The sequence below is a fragment of the Homo sapiens genome, chromosome 7 (genome assembly GCF_000001405.40).
Source record: "Homo sapiens chromosome 7, GRCh38.p14 Primary Assembly".
NCBI classification, from domain to species: Eukaryota; Metazoa; Chordata; class Mammalia; order Primates; family Hominidae; genus Homo; species Homo sapiens.
In genome coordinates this window covers 70,428,302-70,444,241 of record NC_000007.14, presented here as the reverse complement: position 1 = coordinate 70,444,241, position 15,940 = coordinate 70,428,302, and the positions used below count along the sequence as shown (strand labels likewise).

Sequence of the window (15,940 nt, the reverse complement as noted above, 5' to 3'; positions counted from 1 at the left end):
CACTCTATCAGAGGCCACTAACATGAAGCATGTTGTTCAAGACATCACCTGTACAAATGCCTCTGCTCATGACCCTCCTGGTATTCAGGTGGCTCAGGGCTCATGGTCAATTTCATGGGGCTGATAGCCATCACCTCCCCCAGCCTCCTCCTTGGCTTTACAACTTTCCCTTCAGGTAAGCCATGACACCCAAGGCGATGGCTCATTCACCCAAGGGGAAGCAGCAGGAACTTTTCTGTGGGAACACAGAATCATGCACTCAACCTTGATGTTTCTGGAACAATTCCTTTTATAGATCAAGTAATGGTCATTACCAAACAAGTGAGTTCTTGAAACACATTCCGTAAGCTAGCTCTCCACCTAGTCCCCATGCTTTCCTAAATACTTACAGTAGTTGAGGAACACAGATTAAATGAACTGCTCTGCTACTTACTCACAGGTACATGGTGACAGTTCCATCAGAGTTAAGCAACTATAATTCTCATGTCAGTTCATCAGTAGACACTTGTGAAAAAATGAGTGGATATGTATGACTGAAAGACTGAACCAACAAACAGATAAGGACCCTGTTTAGACATCAGGTCTGTATGTAAGTTTCCTTCAGTTGCTTGAGAGTACACACACATATACCCGAGTATGTCCCCTATATGTTTATTCTCTCTTGGAAGACTGAGAGAGACGAAAGAATGGAGACAATTCTTATATAATCCTCTTTCCACATTGGCAAAGGGAAGATACAATCACATATTAATTTCCCTCTGGGTTCTGCCATGCTGTTGGGGCCTAGGTAAATAGCTATTTGGAAAATCTGGATAGTCAATGTTGGATCATTGAATACTGCCTCATTTTCCAGATGACAAAACTAATGCTAGGCACCATTAGGTAACTTGCCCAAGGCCATACAGCTGGTGAGTGAGAAATCAGGAATTGGGTCTTCTGAGTGCCCTTCTCCACCACCCACCTATTGCGAGCAATAGAACATCTAGAACCTGTTCTTTCTTCTCACTGTTTATTTCAAGAAACAAAACCTTAGCTGAAAATGCCTGACATATTTCCAATAACAAGTATTTATTCTGTTGACTTACCTATATTTAATTGAAAATCTGTACATTTATAACTTCTTTTTCAGGTGCATGACATGGTAGTAATGAACAGATTATTGTACATACATGTTCAGTATAAGTGAAGTAATTTTTGGTTTTGCCTGAAAATGTTATCATATGAAAAAGATAATGAGATTCTGAATTTAAAATAATTTACCATAGAAATTTAATCCAAGGATAGTATCAATGTGTATTTGGGATGTATGCAATGTAATTAAGCCAATTGGAAATATGATGATTTTGGAAGAACAATAAAATGTCATTTTAACCCAGACAAAATCCTGAAGGGGTAAGAAGAGGTTGAGTAGATGGGCATCACGGAAATCACGCATCCAAAATAAAAAGCTCTTAGGCCAGGTGCGGTGGCTCATGACTGTCATCCCAACACTTTGGGAGGCCAATATGGGCCGGTCACCTGAGGTCAGGAGTTCAAGATCAGCCTGGCCAACATGGTGAAACCCTGTCTCTACTAAAAATACAAAAATTAGCCAGGCATGGTGGGTGCCTGTAATCCCAGCTACTCGGGAGGCTGAGGCAGGAGAATCACTTGAATCAAGGAGTGGGAGGGTTCAGTGAACCGAGACTGCGCCACTGCACTTCTGCCTGGGTGACAGAGCGAGACTCCATTTCAAAAAACAAAAATAAATTAAAAATCTCCTGAGACTCAGCCAAGAACCATAAGAAATTGTCTATTTATAAGTTAGGAAACTTATAAATGGCTTAGATATATTGTATGAGAAAACTGTAGATGAAATATAGAAGCCTGAGGAAGAGATCACACATTTTGGGGGTCCAGGAAGTAGACATTGCGACTGTATGAGGTGCAATCAGGTTTGAGTATGAGTCTTCTGAACTTGGTTCACTTATCCCCTCCGTTTGGAGATGAGTATCCAGGAAAGAAAATGCAAATTTTGCAAAACACTGAGCACCTAATTCATATCAAGCACTGTGCAAAGTATTAGGGATATAAAGACAAGAACATGGATCCATTCTCTTTCCCTGGGTGATGGCTGTCTGCTTTGCTGCTATGAAATCTGGAAAGGTGGAGATATTCCTTTCTAGCTACAAAATAGGACAGTACCTCCAAACTGTCTCCTGACCAAAATATATCCTATTTGAAAACTAAGGCTGGGGGTTCCACAAGCAACAATGAGGGCCTTCTGAGCTTCTGGAATGTTGCTGAGGGTGCACAAACCTTACCGAGTGTGAAACATGGCCAACCAAGGGATGGGACTCTTCCACTGTAAGCACAAACCACATGCCCAGTCTTCAGTTTGACATCTCAGCAGTTTCTGACTCCTGCACGAGCCAAGTTAGGCATGTGGTTTGTGTTGAGTTAGGAACATAAGACTTTGCTGGTTTTCTTTGCTCCTTTTCTTAGAAGCCCCTTCCCACACAAGTGAACATAAAATGATCAAACACAACAACTTTTAGCATGAATTTAAAAATGAACACCAGGCATGGTTGCTCATGCCTGTAATATCAGTGCTTTGGGAGGCCAAGGCAGGAGGATCACTTGAGGCCAAGAGTTTGAGACCAGTGTGGGCAACATAGTGAGACTCCATCTCTACAGAATAAAATTTAAGTTATCTGAGTATGGTGGTACACACCTGTAGTCCCAGCTACTTGGGAGGCTGAGGTGGGAGGACTGCTTGAGTCCAGGAGTTCGAGGCTGTAGTGAGCTAAGATTATGCCATTGTACTCCAGCCTGGGCAACAGAGCGAGACCCTGTCTCTAAACAAAAAAGGGAATGCACCAAAAAGTGTGTGGAAAGAGGGAAAGCAGGTGTGAAAAATCGGTAGTACTGCATTTGCAGTTAGCCATTGTGCCAGTAGGCTGTCCTGGGTACAGGACACAGTACCAAAGCAAAGCCCAGGAGCACAAACACCTTCTCCAGGTGGTTGTTCCTACTGCTAACAGCACAGAGAGAAAAAACTGCAATCAGGAGTCATGTTAAAAGATTGATAGGAAAAGGAGAAGGATTCATTTCTGTGAGATTGTGTATGTGTGTACTGCATGTATACTTATGCCCGGTATCTACAGACATAAGCATGGGTGGCACATGTCTGCACACACAGGCAACATCTCCACAACTTTCAAGTTTTTCTCCTAAGCAGTCAAAATTTCAAGAGCATTAAACACGGGGAAAAATCATGTTTCCCTTTGACATTTACTATAAGGCAGTAGTTCTCAAAACCAGTTGTGTACCAAAATTACCTAGGAAGCTTTTTAAAAAATACAGATGCTCTGGCCCTACCCCAGAACATCTCTCCTGTGATGGGTTTCTGGGAACCGACAGTGTTTGGCATTTGGGAACAGTTGCTGAAGGGACAAGAGCTATACAATTCACTTAATCACCATTTGATCCCTCCAGGACAGTACACGTGCTCTTGGCTCCAGGTTCTGCTCAGAGGAAGGCCTGATGTTTGGATAAGGGGTTTAAAAAGACACTGTTTCAGAACCCTTCAAAATTTAACACTTCCATTCAGCCTGTGTCCAGGAGAAGGGCCCTTGGGATAAAGGCTGAGCCTCAGATTCTGGGGAAACCCTCTAGCAGGTTCTCTAGAAGAACCCCAGCTTTCCAAAGAGGATGCTAGTCTTCCTCTTTTTTCAAGCGTCCTCTCTCATTTTATCTCAAGTAAAATGAACAAAAGCTAACATTTATTGAGCAGTTACTATGGACCAGGCACTGAGCCAGATGCCTTCATATATTTTTATTTTTTTAGAGACAGGGTCTCACTCTGTCACTCAGGCTGGAGTGCAGTGTAGTGGCATGATCTTAGCTCACTGCAGTCTTGAAACTCCTAGGCTCAAGCAATCATCCTGCCTCAGCCTCCTGACTAGCTGGGACTATAGGCACATGCCACCATGCCTGGTTAAGTTTTAAGATTTTTTTTTTTTTTTTTTTTTTTAGAGACAGGGCCTCACTATGTTGCCCAGGCTGGTCTCAAACTCTAGGGCTCAAAGACAAGAGCCCACTTTGTCCTGCCTTGGCCTCCCTAAGTGCTGGGATTACCGCCATAAGCCACCATGCCTGGCCCTAAATGCTTTCATTTAATTGCTACAGGACTATATGTAGAGCTGTTGTCACCCCCATTTGACAGCTGAGAAAGCCAAGGCTTGTCCACAACAAAATAGAAATGGACAGAGTCAGAAACATGTGTCAGCCATCACACTGAGGCCCAAGTGCTTGGCCACTGGGCTATATGCCTTCCAATCAGCTCAGTCACATGCTATACACAAGAAAAAGGGTGTGGGTAGAACAGGGAATGACTTTTAATCTCCACATTAACTTCATAACCAAACGGGATATTTCTTAGCATCATGGGCTGCTGCCAGTACTGGAGAAAGAAAGGAAACAATAAAATATAGGCCAAATATTTGGCAATTGCATGTTGCCTCTTTGTTCTCATGATACCAATTCATTTCGAATGGGGGATCAGAATAATTGCTTAATTTGGGTGATTAAGGGTGCCAAGTGCTGCCTCTTTTCTTAGCTCTCACTACAGTGAAGAACAATCCCACATCTAAGATGCAGTGTTCACAGCCTTCTGTAATTCCCCACCCAATTTCTATCTTTTTTTTTTTTTTTTTTTTTTTGAGATGGAGTCTCGCCCTGTCGCCCAGGCTGGAGTGCAATGGTGCGATCTCGGCTCACTGCAACTTCCGCCTCCCGGGTTCAAGCAATTCCCCTGCCTCAGCCTCCCGAGTAGCTGCGACTACAGGCACGTGCTACCACGCCCGGCTAATTTTTTGTATTTTTAGTAGAGACGGGGTTTCACTATGTTGGTCAGGCTGGTCTCCAACTCCTGATCTTGTCATCTCCCCGCCTTGGCCTCCCAAAGTGTTGGGATTACAGGCATCAGCCACCGCACCCAGCCCAATTTCTACTCTTCATGAACGTCCTTGTGGTTATCTGACATTAATGTGCAATGTATTCACGTGGCTGGGAGGGGAGGATAAGGGAGATACTTTGCTCAGTGTCTCATCAAAGCCTTTTTGTGCACAAGTGTGTCTCCTGCATTTAGGGAAAGCTCTGCTTTTTTAGCCCCTTTCGGAGTCACTTCCACGTTAATTAGTAAGGGTATCATTTTATAAATTACAGCTTCATATCAGAGGAAAGCAGAGTTTATCTTAATTCAGTCAGCTGTGTGAAACACAGTACCCTAATTTTAGCCTGCCGGTTCTGCAGATCCCTATGGAGTAAGAGAATGGCAGGTCTTCCAGAGAGAAATCCCAGTGGGTCCCTGACAAGTTTCACTTTTGCCTCCAACAGCATCCCTGGTGGGGCTTGCTGAAGGTATCCCAGGACACTGAGTGGCATCTTTTCCACCATTAGCAATTCAGATTCGAATGCGAATCCTCCAAGCAACACATGAAAGCAGCCCTGGTTAGCTCTGGGGCTTCGAGGGGGGCACAGGCAAGAGGTTTCTTCACAGAGGAGGCTGACAGGGACCCAGGCTCCGACAGAGCAGAAGTCTTGGAGGATGGTGTTAAAGTTGGCGATAAACACCAGACAATCTCAGTCCAAAAGGGGAAGCCTAACAGTCTTAACTGCAACAGGGCCAAGCAGGTGCGAGGGCAATTAGAGTCTCAATGGCTCCTGTTGGGAGCCCCCTGGAGAAATGGCATGGGGCAGAACAGAGGCAGATGATGTCAACACTGGTTATGGTGTGGCTCCCACTTAAGACCTGCAGGATCACCACAGTAGAAAGGAAGAATGGCTGGGGGTGCAGGGCAGGAGGTGCGCCATGAATCTGAGGAACACTCCTAATACCCCTTCCCTTCTTGCCATTGCCACTCTTGGACTCGCCTATAAACAACTATGTATCCGCTTTATTACCCTGAAATCTACTCAAGCTCAGAGTGGTAGGTGGGAGCTACCTTCCCAATACCCATTATTCCGACACTTTACTTCTTGCACTTAGAGATGGAAACCCAGGCAATAACTACTCAGGAATTCAGGTGATGGGAAAGGACCTGGTGGGGTGCTCTCAGTATTGGCCCCCAGATCCCTCTGACAACCAGAGGCAGATTACTCCTAGAAATTACCAGAGTTAGGTGATCATCAAGACCCATGGTTCAAGACAGCCCCAAAGGCTCCAAGGTCATTGACCTGGGATGAGGCCCAGGCACTGGAACTTGTAGCAGCTCCCTAGGTGATTTGGGTGTCAAGGTTGAGGCCACTGGTGAAGACATTTACAAGGAACACAAAACCGGGCATCCTTACCACCTTCTACCACTGCTGAAGACTGGTGATGGTTTTGGAATTCACATTTCCTTTTTTTTTTTTTTTTTTTTGATGGAATCTCACTCTGTCACCCAGGCTGGAGTACAGTGGTGCGATCTCTGCTCACTGCAACCTCCGCCTCCCAGGTTCAAGCTATTCTCCTGCCTCAGCCTCCCGAGTAGCTGGAACTACAGGCGCCCGCCACAATGCCCAGCTAATTTTTTGTATTTTTAGTTGAGACGGGGTTTCACAGTGTTAGCCAGGATGGTCTCAATCTCCTGACCTCGTGATCCACCCACCTCGGCCTCCCAAAGTGCTGGGATCACAAGCGTGAGCCACTGCGCCTGGCCCCACATTTCCTTTTAAGGAAAGAATGTCAGCTTGGTTGTACGACCCTGAATAAGATTTATCCTTTTGGAAAAGTGGCACAGACTTAGAAAGTGAGATCAACCATTGCTGATAGATCTGGAATGGCCAGAAGGTACCAGTCCCTCCCTGGGTACCAGTGATGCCCACCATGTGGGAATGTGGCCTCGGGGGTTTGGGGGCCAATGACCGTGTCTTGAACACTAACCATTACTGCTGTGCACATGTCCCTGGCACCCACTACACACTGGCTGCCTGAGACACCAGGAGTCCTACTTCCAAGGAGCTAAGGCTCCTGGGGGCTGGAGAAAGGCAGCTCCTACTTGTCAGTTAAACAAAAGAATAATCCACAGCCCCCTTTCCAGTGTGTACTTTCACTGTCATCCAACAGCCCATTACCATGTCACAGCACAGCGTACCCTTCCATAGGTCACTTTGTTTAAAATGACATGGATAATGCACATGTCAGCAAGCTGACAGTCCTGGCCGTCCTTCAGAGATAAAAACCTCAAGGCGAGAGCCTGTTCTTATCTGGGGGACATGCATTGGTCTATCATCCAAGTCAGGCAGAACATGATTTCTCCAGAGAGCATTTTTTTCATTTCCTGATTTTAAGGAAATCAAATAAGCACCATTTGTCTTCATCTGAATATGCTTGACCTGCTCAAATGATGATGTCTCGCATTTTATAACAGGCTACATATGCTGAATTCAAATTAACGACAGTACAGAACAAGAGCCTTTAGATCTCTCTTGGAGGCTGGCAGCAGAGAAGGAGAGAAAAATTCTGGGTTTGTTGGAAAGATCCCACTAAATACTAACTGCAGCATTCTGAATAAAATCCGCAAGCATGTAGGAGGTGAAAGTCAAAGCACAGGGCACAGGACAGATCCAGAAACGGGGGAAGGGAGGCCGAGTCCATCCTTTTGATACCAAGCAATACAGAAACCGTGATATTCAGGTAACTCTTTTCAAAATAACATAAAGCAGCAGTAAAAATGGAAGGAACTTTGGTTGGGGATTGGAACGGCTAGAAAGAAAGACCAAACAGACAAATAATCCCTTTGCTTCAGGCAGCAGAAAGCTCACTTTACCGAGTTGTGATCCAATCTTCTGGAACCTCAGAAACTGAGTTCCTTTTCTTGATCCATGTTGATCTGGATACACAGAGGCTGGTGCCCATGAGCCTCGAAACAGAGCATGTACCTGCTGGAAGAACTGTCCTCCTACCTGGCGGTCCGCCCGGATGGGAAGAGGGCAGTTCCCATCTGACCTCCCTTGCCCACCCGTACCCCATGATGAGATTCCTAGACACAGACCATTAACATTTCTATCAAGAAGGCCAATAGGTACAGAAAAGCATATGGGTCAGTAAAATAAATGCAGAAATGACATTATAAACACAAACTAGCAAGTTTAACGTTCTCATCATGGATTTTTAAAAATCAGATGGTTATTAAAATAAATAATTTTGTCTTTTAAAATGTTTTTGAGTCTATGAGTCATCTTCCATAAAGTAAAAACTCAGTGTCACATATATGCAATATTAAAGGTCTTGTTTAAATGAAAAAAAGGTAGATCTGACAAATTAAACGTGTCATAGCATAGGAAATGTCACTGTGTGAATAATGCCCATCTTTCCTAAAGAGAAAAGGTCCTGTCAACATGAAGCTGGCATCCTACCCTGCAGCTGTGTGTGGGAGGACTCTGGTGTTCAGTGTGTTATGTGCTGTGCCCACAATGGGGGAGGGGGGGTCTTACCTTCTCTTCCTGGTCACTGTCACTGTCACACTGAAAATGAAGACAAGAGAATAAGGGTTAGTGCAAGAACTGAGTATGTTTTTGCTTTTGATGCCTCCTCCCCCAACCCCCATACAAAAAAAGTGCAAGATAAGTAAAGGAAATAAAAAATGCTGTCTTCCTGGAAAGAAAGAGTTTCTCCAGTTCAAGTGCTAGTAAACAGCATCTGAAACAAAATGCTATCCAGATGCAAAAAAGTTATTTTGTTGATTTCATCTGATGCCTGTACTCTGTGGCTCTTCCTCAGGTCAGTCCAGCAAGGTGCTCAATCACACAAGTGAGCGCTTCCCTCCCACCATGGCAGGGTAGAGGCGATGCCCCTCTAGGAGTCAGCCACAGGATTAAGGTGAATCAAGATTGTTCAATGAAATTCAGAGCAAAATCAATTTCTTAACGAAGACATTCTATCTTCAGCTAATGTGAATGGCTGTATCTCTACCGGTGCTTTTCTACAGGAAAAGAGGTAAACCTCTGGGCGTTGTAGTCACTCATTTGAACTTTGAAGGAAACAGAACATAATGGCCAAGGCTCACCACTTGTGATGGCTGCCTTTTCCGGTTTAGAGGCCCAGAGAATAGAAGGAACATTCCCTATAAAAAGTATGCCAAAGACAAGAGGTCAGGGTAGTAAATAAAAAATATGGGCAAAAAAGTATGCTTTAGGGCCATAGACTCAGACCATATCAAACAGATCCCAAATTCCAACCACTGAGTTTGGTTTGGGATAAGCAGAGAGTGATAATTAATAATTAACCCCAGTCTTTGGGATCCTCATGATAAGCAAGGGAAAAAAGAACACAACTTAAAAAAAATGAAGTGTTTTGTTAATTCAATATTCAATGAAAAACTGGGGGATGTGTTTTGTTAGAGTAAAGCTCAGCAGGTAAATATATCTATTCATTCAGTCAACAGCCCTTGATAAGGAACTGCTAAACTAGACTGAAATTCACCTGAGATACAGGCCTGGCTCTAAAGGAGCCTTCCGTTTAGCAGTAAGACATGAAGCTGGGATACAAACACTAGCAGGGGTGTGGCATGATCAGAGCTGCTTCCATGAGGATGACTTTCTGTGGGAACGTGGAGAGAGTGCACAGTGGGGAAAAATCAGGTCACAGGGAGAGTGGTTTGGCAGCCATTCCACTGTCTAACCCAAGGTGGTGCCATGGTTTAGGAAGGCAGAAGCAGATGGCACAGCAATTCTGAAGGTAGAACCAACAGGATTTGATAACACATGGATATGGGAAGCAAGTAACAGGGATGTGTCTAGGATGATGCCAAGGTTTTTTAGTGTGGCCACCTGGACATGGGAGTTGGTATAGCTTTGAACAGAAACAGGAAATAAATTTGCTTGTAGGGCAGCCACTGCTGGCTAGATCCCCACAGCCATTCACAACTCCCTTCTCCCTAGTCTGTACCTTCTCCTGACACTTTGAGGTTAAAAATGCCAGGTATTTTCTTTCTCAATTTTTCTTGAGGCTAAAGATGGGAAAAGAGGTAAACCTCTGGGCATTGTAATCGCTTATTTGAAGGCCCATCTTTGGCCAATGAGATTCTGAAATCTGCTGAGGGCTCTAGAAACAATTTTGTCTCCCCAGTAAACAAAGAAAAGAAGGAACCACCTGCCTTTGGCCTTTGAACATGAGTGTATAAGAACGTGATGTCCAGATACGTAGCAGCCATCTTGCAAAAATGAGGCAAAAAGACTCAGTACAAAAACAACAGAGTGGGACCAAGGGAAAAAATGCCTGACAGAATTGGACCACTGAACCCATCTCAGGGCAGCCTGCCTCAGGACTTTTATTCAGAAAACACTAAGTTACCTTATTGTTTAAGCTCCTATTAGAGAGCTTTTAATGGGAAGTAACAGAACACCCATCTAAATGGACTTCTTGCTATTATGAGACAACCTGGGGACTACTTATTCTTTTCAGACTAAGCACTCCGTAGTAAAAGCATTTAGGAACTTATATCACAGTCTTATAGACTGGAGGATTAGAACATTTTCTACTTCTCCCATTGGCTCCTCAGTGCCACAGGGTAGTCAGATATTCAGTGACAGCGATTTAACCAAGTACGGTGCATCATTTCCAACCCAGCTTCCAACCTCAGATTGTCTACATTTACATTCTTTGACCTGATGAGTGGTTTCTTTATTGTAATAAGTCAAATGAGTTGAGAAAGAAATTGGATGAGATGAAGACTTTGAAGGCCTAGAACCGCAGGTGGATGAGGAACAATACTGTCCTGATTGTGTGATCTCTCCATTGCCTTTAATTAAGCCCTCTGTGAGGTTCCTAAGATCTGGGCACATTTTCAAGAGTGACAACGCTCAATTCAAGAGGGGTGTGGAAGGCAGAAGACTATTTTGCCAGGCAGGCTCATGTTCCCAGATGTTCACAGCGCTCCTTGTGAGGTAATCAATGACAGCTGAAGGCTGTGGCATCGCATTTGCCCACCTCCCCAAGGATCTGGTGTGCAGGGAGGACGAGGAGTGGGGTAGCTGGGAAAGAACCACCACTGTGCCCCCTATCCTAACGGCAGTATGTCCCTGGGAATGGTTATTTCTATCAAAGTGTTAAGCTTCCTGCTTTCCAACAGTCCAGTTCTAATTTCAAGGTCCACTTAATTCTGCATCAAGTAATTACTGATATACCCAGAAGCACCTTGTCTCCAGAGTTAAGCATATGGTGAAGAACTGAGACCTACTGGTATCCATTATGGAAGCAGCACGGATGCCAAGCCGATTAAAAATGCTCAGGCTCCCCACACAACATGCCGGGTGAGTGACAGCTCCTCGACAAGGCCAGTCGTGGAGTCTGCCAAAACAGTCTCTGCTGCACTGGGGTCCACATGGTGTGCTGAGAAAACAGTTCCATTTCTGGTATTAAATTCCCATACTGACCTGAGGACTTTGCCGTGAGCTCAGCAGGAGCGCACCATCCAATTTACAGCTCCACTCTCTGGAGCCTCGAGTGCCAGCCCCTGGCAGAGACGAATGATGGTCAACCCCTCCAGCTCATAAATTATGCAAAGCCAATAAATGCACTCAGCAAACAGCGCCTAACGTTTGCCTTGCCTGGCTCCTAACACACTCTGTAAAAAGCCAGAAGCTCGACACATACAAGAGGTCTATTCCACTCATAAAGGGGGTTTGTTGACAACCCCAGACGGAAAGCGAGCCACAGTCCTAAGGAGTCTTTCTGCTTCACTGGCAGCGGTTTATGGGCCTGCTTTATGAAAAAGGGAGGCTGTTTTATAGAGTCAGTGTGGGTAGAATTCATGGTCTCAAATTCACATTTAATACACTGTATAGCTTTCACACCCTAAGTTCAATACACTGTGGATTTTTTTGGCCAAGTGATTCTTGGTCTTCAAAGGTTAAAAGAAGAAGTGTCTGCTCCTCAATCCCTAGATACCCACTCCAATTTATAAGAGTTCACATTGAGCCACCTCCTGATGCAGGTTTATGTTCTGCATGAGGCTGGGAAATGGAAAAGGCATGTCAGATGCAGAGACGGCGTCCCAGCGGATTTGACCATTTTAAGCATTTTGACATCGGGGTCCTGCTTTGGTTTATTAGCAAACAGGTTGCACACTAACTACCAGCTTGAGGTGACGAAGTACTCTCCATGACAAGATTTCAGAGCCCGCTGTGAAAAGCTAAAAATATATCCTCCATTTTAAAAGCAAGAAATGAAAAGAGACAAAAAGAAACAACTAGGCCTTACAGCAATCACAGATAAGAATTCATGGTCACCCGGCCTTCAGACAAAGACATGACCCAAACCATCACACACAAAAGGAGAGAAAGAGGACGTGTGCACGCCTGGCCAAAGGCCTCAAATGCACAGTTAGAAAGGGACTAGTTCCTAAACCTGAGTCCTTCCAGCCATCTCAATACTGAAACCACTCAACTTCCATCTTCACCGTCTCTTCCCCTGGTTTCATGAATTAAAAGTGAACTGCTGGAGGCACAGTCTTCCTTTCCCAGACAAGTCTTACCCCTTAAACAACAAACCAACCCACCCAATCTTTCTCCTTTTGAAAATACAAATTTACGGCCGGGTGACGGGGCTCACGCCTGTAATCCCAGCACTTTGGGAGGCTGAAGGCGGGTGGATCATGAGGTCAGGAGTTTGAGACCAGCCTGACCAACATGGTGAAACGCCATCTCTACTAAAAATGCAAAAATTAGCCGGGCGTGGTGGCACGCGCCTGTAATCCCAGATACTCAGGAGGCTGAGTCAGGAGAATCGCTTGAGCCAGGGAGACGGAGGTTGTAGTGAGCTGAGATCACTCCACCCTGGGCAACAGAGCGAGACTTCGTCTCAAAAACAAACAAACAAACAAAAAAAACATATTTACTGGATACATTTTAAAAATTACCCATAAATCTACAATCCTTAGGTAAACACTGTTAATACATTTTTGTAAGTCTTTCCAGTCTTAAGGATATAATCCCACTCGTCTTTTAAACATACATTTTAAGAAATAAAAATGAATTCCTACCATTTTGGAACCTGCTTTGATTTTCACATAACACGTCAAATATTTCAGTTTAATCAGTAAAATTTATCCTGTAACATCACTTTAAAAAATGGCGACACGGCCGGGCGCGGTGGCTCACGCCTGTAATACCAGCACTTTGGGAGGCCGAGGCGGGCGGATCACGAGGTCAGGAGATCGAGACCATCCCGGCTAAAACGGTGAAACCCCGTCTCTACTAAAAATACAAAAAAAATTAGCTGGGCGTGCTGGCGGGCGCCTGTAGTCCCAGCTACTTGGGAGGCTGAGGCAGGAGAATGGCGCGAACCCGGGAGGCGGAGCTTGCAGTGAGCCGAGATCCCGCCACTGCACTCCAGCCTGGGCGACAGAGCGAGACTCCGTCTCAAAAAAAAAAAAAAAAAAAAAAAAAGGCGACACTGCAATCTGCTATGTGGATTGTAACATAATCTAATTAAAAAATTCCCCAGTGCTGGTTATTTAGATTGTTTCAATTGCACATCCTTTAGAATTTTTCCCTTTGCACCCATTCACCAATATTGCTGTCTGCGACTGTCTTTTCAAGGCCCTTCCTTTTCTGCATATTCTTTAATGTCACTGTCTCCCCAGAGTTGCATCTGGAGTTCTATTGTTTCTATGTGACTTTCAAGGGAGACCTTAAAGATTCCCTTGGTCCTTTCTACCATGTATATGCTGAAACTCAAAAATCTCTATGCCCACATTTGCCAGCTGTGTAACTTTGGAAAAGTTATTTAAACTCTCTGGGCCTTAGTATATTTCTCTGTAAAATATGGCTAGAAGAGGAGAATGAGTTAATACATGTAAACAACTTAGTGCATGGTACCAAGTATGTACAGATGATAAATGTTAAGTATTATTAAGCTTCCGTTGGGTATGTGCCCCCTGTTGAAGTGCAGCGAACACTCAGACTCAAGTATCCATCTAAATCTGGACTCAACATCTTTGCTCACCTGAAACTGCCCCTCTCCCACGTTGCCCTTGGTAATAGCATCACCAAGCAATCACTCAACTGCGTAAGTGAAGAGCCTTATCCTTGACCCCATCCTTGAGCGGACTTATCTTCCTCTCTCACCCCACGTTATTGATTCTGCTTTCTAACTCTCCATCCCTGTGGCCATGGCTACTGCGTTAGTTCAGGGTTTTATTTTGTCATTACAAGAGGATAATGACTGCTTTCCAAGGTCTATGCTCTCTTCCTTTTCTAATCCAAGTCCTTATTGACAAGAGTGGATTTCCTAAATTTCTATTTGATGCAGATGCTTCACAAGGCCTATGAAGACCCTTCACATTCTGTTTCTAATCCCCCTCAACTCCCAAATCCCAACCACTCTCTCAACACAATGCTTCTTAAGCTTTCTGTGGTGAAGAGCCATTTGTTTTTGTTTTGCTTTCTTTAATTTCTAATATGTTACGACAATTACTTTTGTAAAATATAATAAAAAGTCAAATTCTTGAAAAATGAAAAAGAAAAACAAATATATATAATACATTTAAAAAATTATTAGATTTATGAAACACAAAATTATGCTACTGAGTTACTCTAAAAGTTTCCCAATGCTTACTCTTGACTCCCCATACTAATCTCACAGCAGGTTGGTTGCAAACAGCTTGTGGTCCGGCCCTGGTTGGCATCCTCGCATTGTGTGGCACTATCCTAACATACCTTGCTTCAACCACGCCCACTCACGCTCAGTCATGCCACCAGCCATCTGCACTTAACAATTCCCTCTACTGGGAATTCTATTCCTCCAAGTTTCTACCTAAAAGCCTGACATTCACCTTCAAAACACAGTTCCTTTTTTGAATCTTCCAATACTTTTCCAGAAAGACTTAATTGCTTCTATCTCCATCCCTTACAAAACTGTACTGCCGTTGTTTGCCACAACAGTCTTTCCAACCAGAGAATGAGCTCCATGTAGGTAAGGACAGTGCCTTGCTTATCTTTGTATCTCTAGGCCTTGGGACACAATAGATGCTCAATTATACTGACAAGTCAATCTCATTCTTCTTGAGTATTGTTCAAACTGTGGTTGATTCCATGCAGCATAAGCAAAGTATGATTTAAAAGGCAGGTGATTCCAAAGAGAAAGTACAAGAAACACTAATATGACTGCTTAACGCAAAGAGATGTATGTGTGAACATACTGAGGGAGGTTAAAATCGTTAGCAGAGCCTAGAGTTGGGGCCCAGAAGAAAATATCTTCCATTAAAAGGCTCAGAAAAAAGATGTGATTATGACTTTATTATATTTATTCAAAAGCAAATATTTTTCATTTTCATTTGGGAATCTCGGTATCTGTGTTTTAAGACTCTGGTCCAAATTGAAATCAGTCAAGGTCTGTGACATCTCTCTGTTTCATTCAGAATGTAGCAACAAGATGGAATTCTAGGTACCTTGTGATGGAATGCATTCTTAAGCACAGAGTGGCAATCATTGAATATATCACATACAATGACATTGAGGAGGGCATTGCTCTCTATTCTGCTCAATGGACCTTGCTGGAACAGTTATTTCGTATCTCAAATCCATTTATCATTGCCACCAAAGATGTCAGGGCTGAATACCACTGCTGAACAAAGTTATTTTATTCTTGTTTCTGCCTAAAGGAAATGAGAGGAAAATGAGGGAGAACCCCAACTTGTAAACTACAATATCTAACATCAAGTATAATTTAACTTTGCCAGTGACAAAACAAATCGATTCTCCTTTGGGGCAGGCGGTTTATCTAAGACCTTAAAGACATCCCTCACCTAAAAGCAATTTCAGAAGAAGCCACCTGCAGAAAACATGACACTTATTTTCTTATTTAAAGAAGTAAGATAGCAGCATGGTGACTAAAAACACGTTCACCATCCCCTGCCCAGCTGCCCAATCCTTTGCTCATGTAAAAATGGGCCGCCATTTTGTGCCACATATG

The 15,940-nt window shown here is 43.9% G+C and overlaps 1 protein-coding gene across 25 annotated transcripts in view; it reads right to left on the bottom strand.

Annotated features, from left to right (window-relative positions):
• The window catches only part of AUTS2 (activator of transcription and developmental regulator AUTS2), a 1,195,032-nt gene that overhangs the window by 349,265 nt on the left and 829,827 nt on the right, over nucleotides 1-15,940 (bottom strand). For all 25 annotated transcript variants that reach the window (XM_011516010.3, XM_011516013.3, XM_011516014.3 and 22 more), the window contains one exon: nucleotides 8,461-8,490. In XM_011516010.3, coding sequence (XP_011514312.1) covers nucleotides 8,461-8,490 — 30 coding nt within the window. The remainder of the gene's footprint in view (nucleotides 1-8,460; nucleotides 8,491-15,940) is intronic.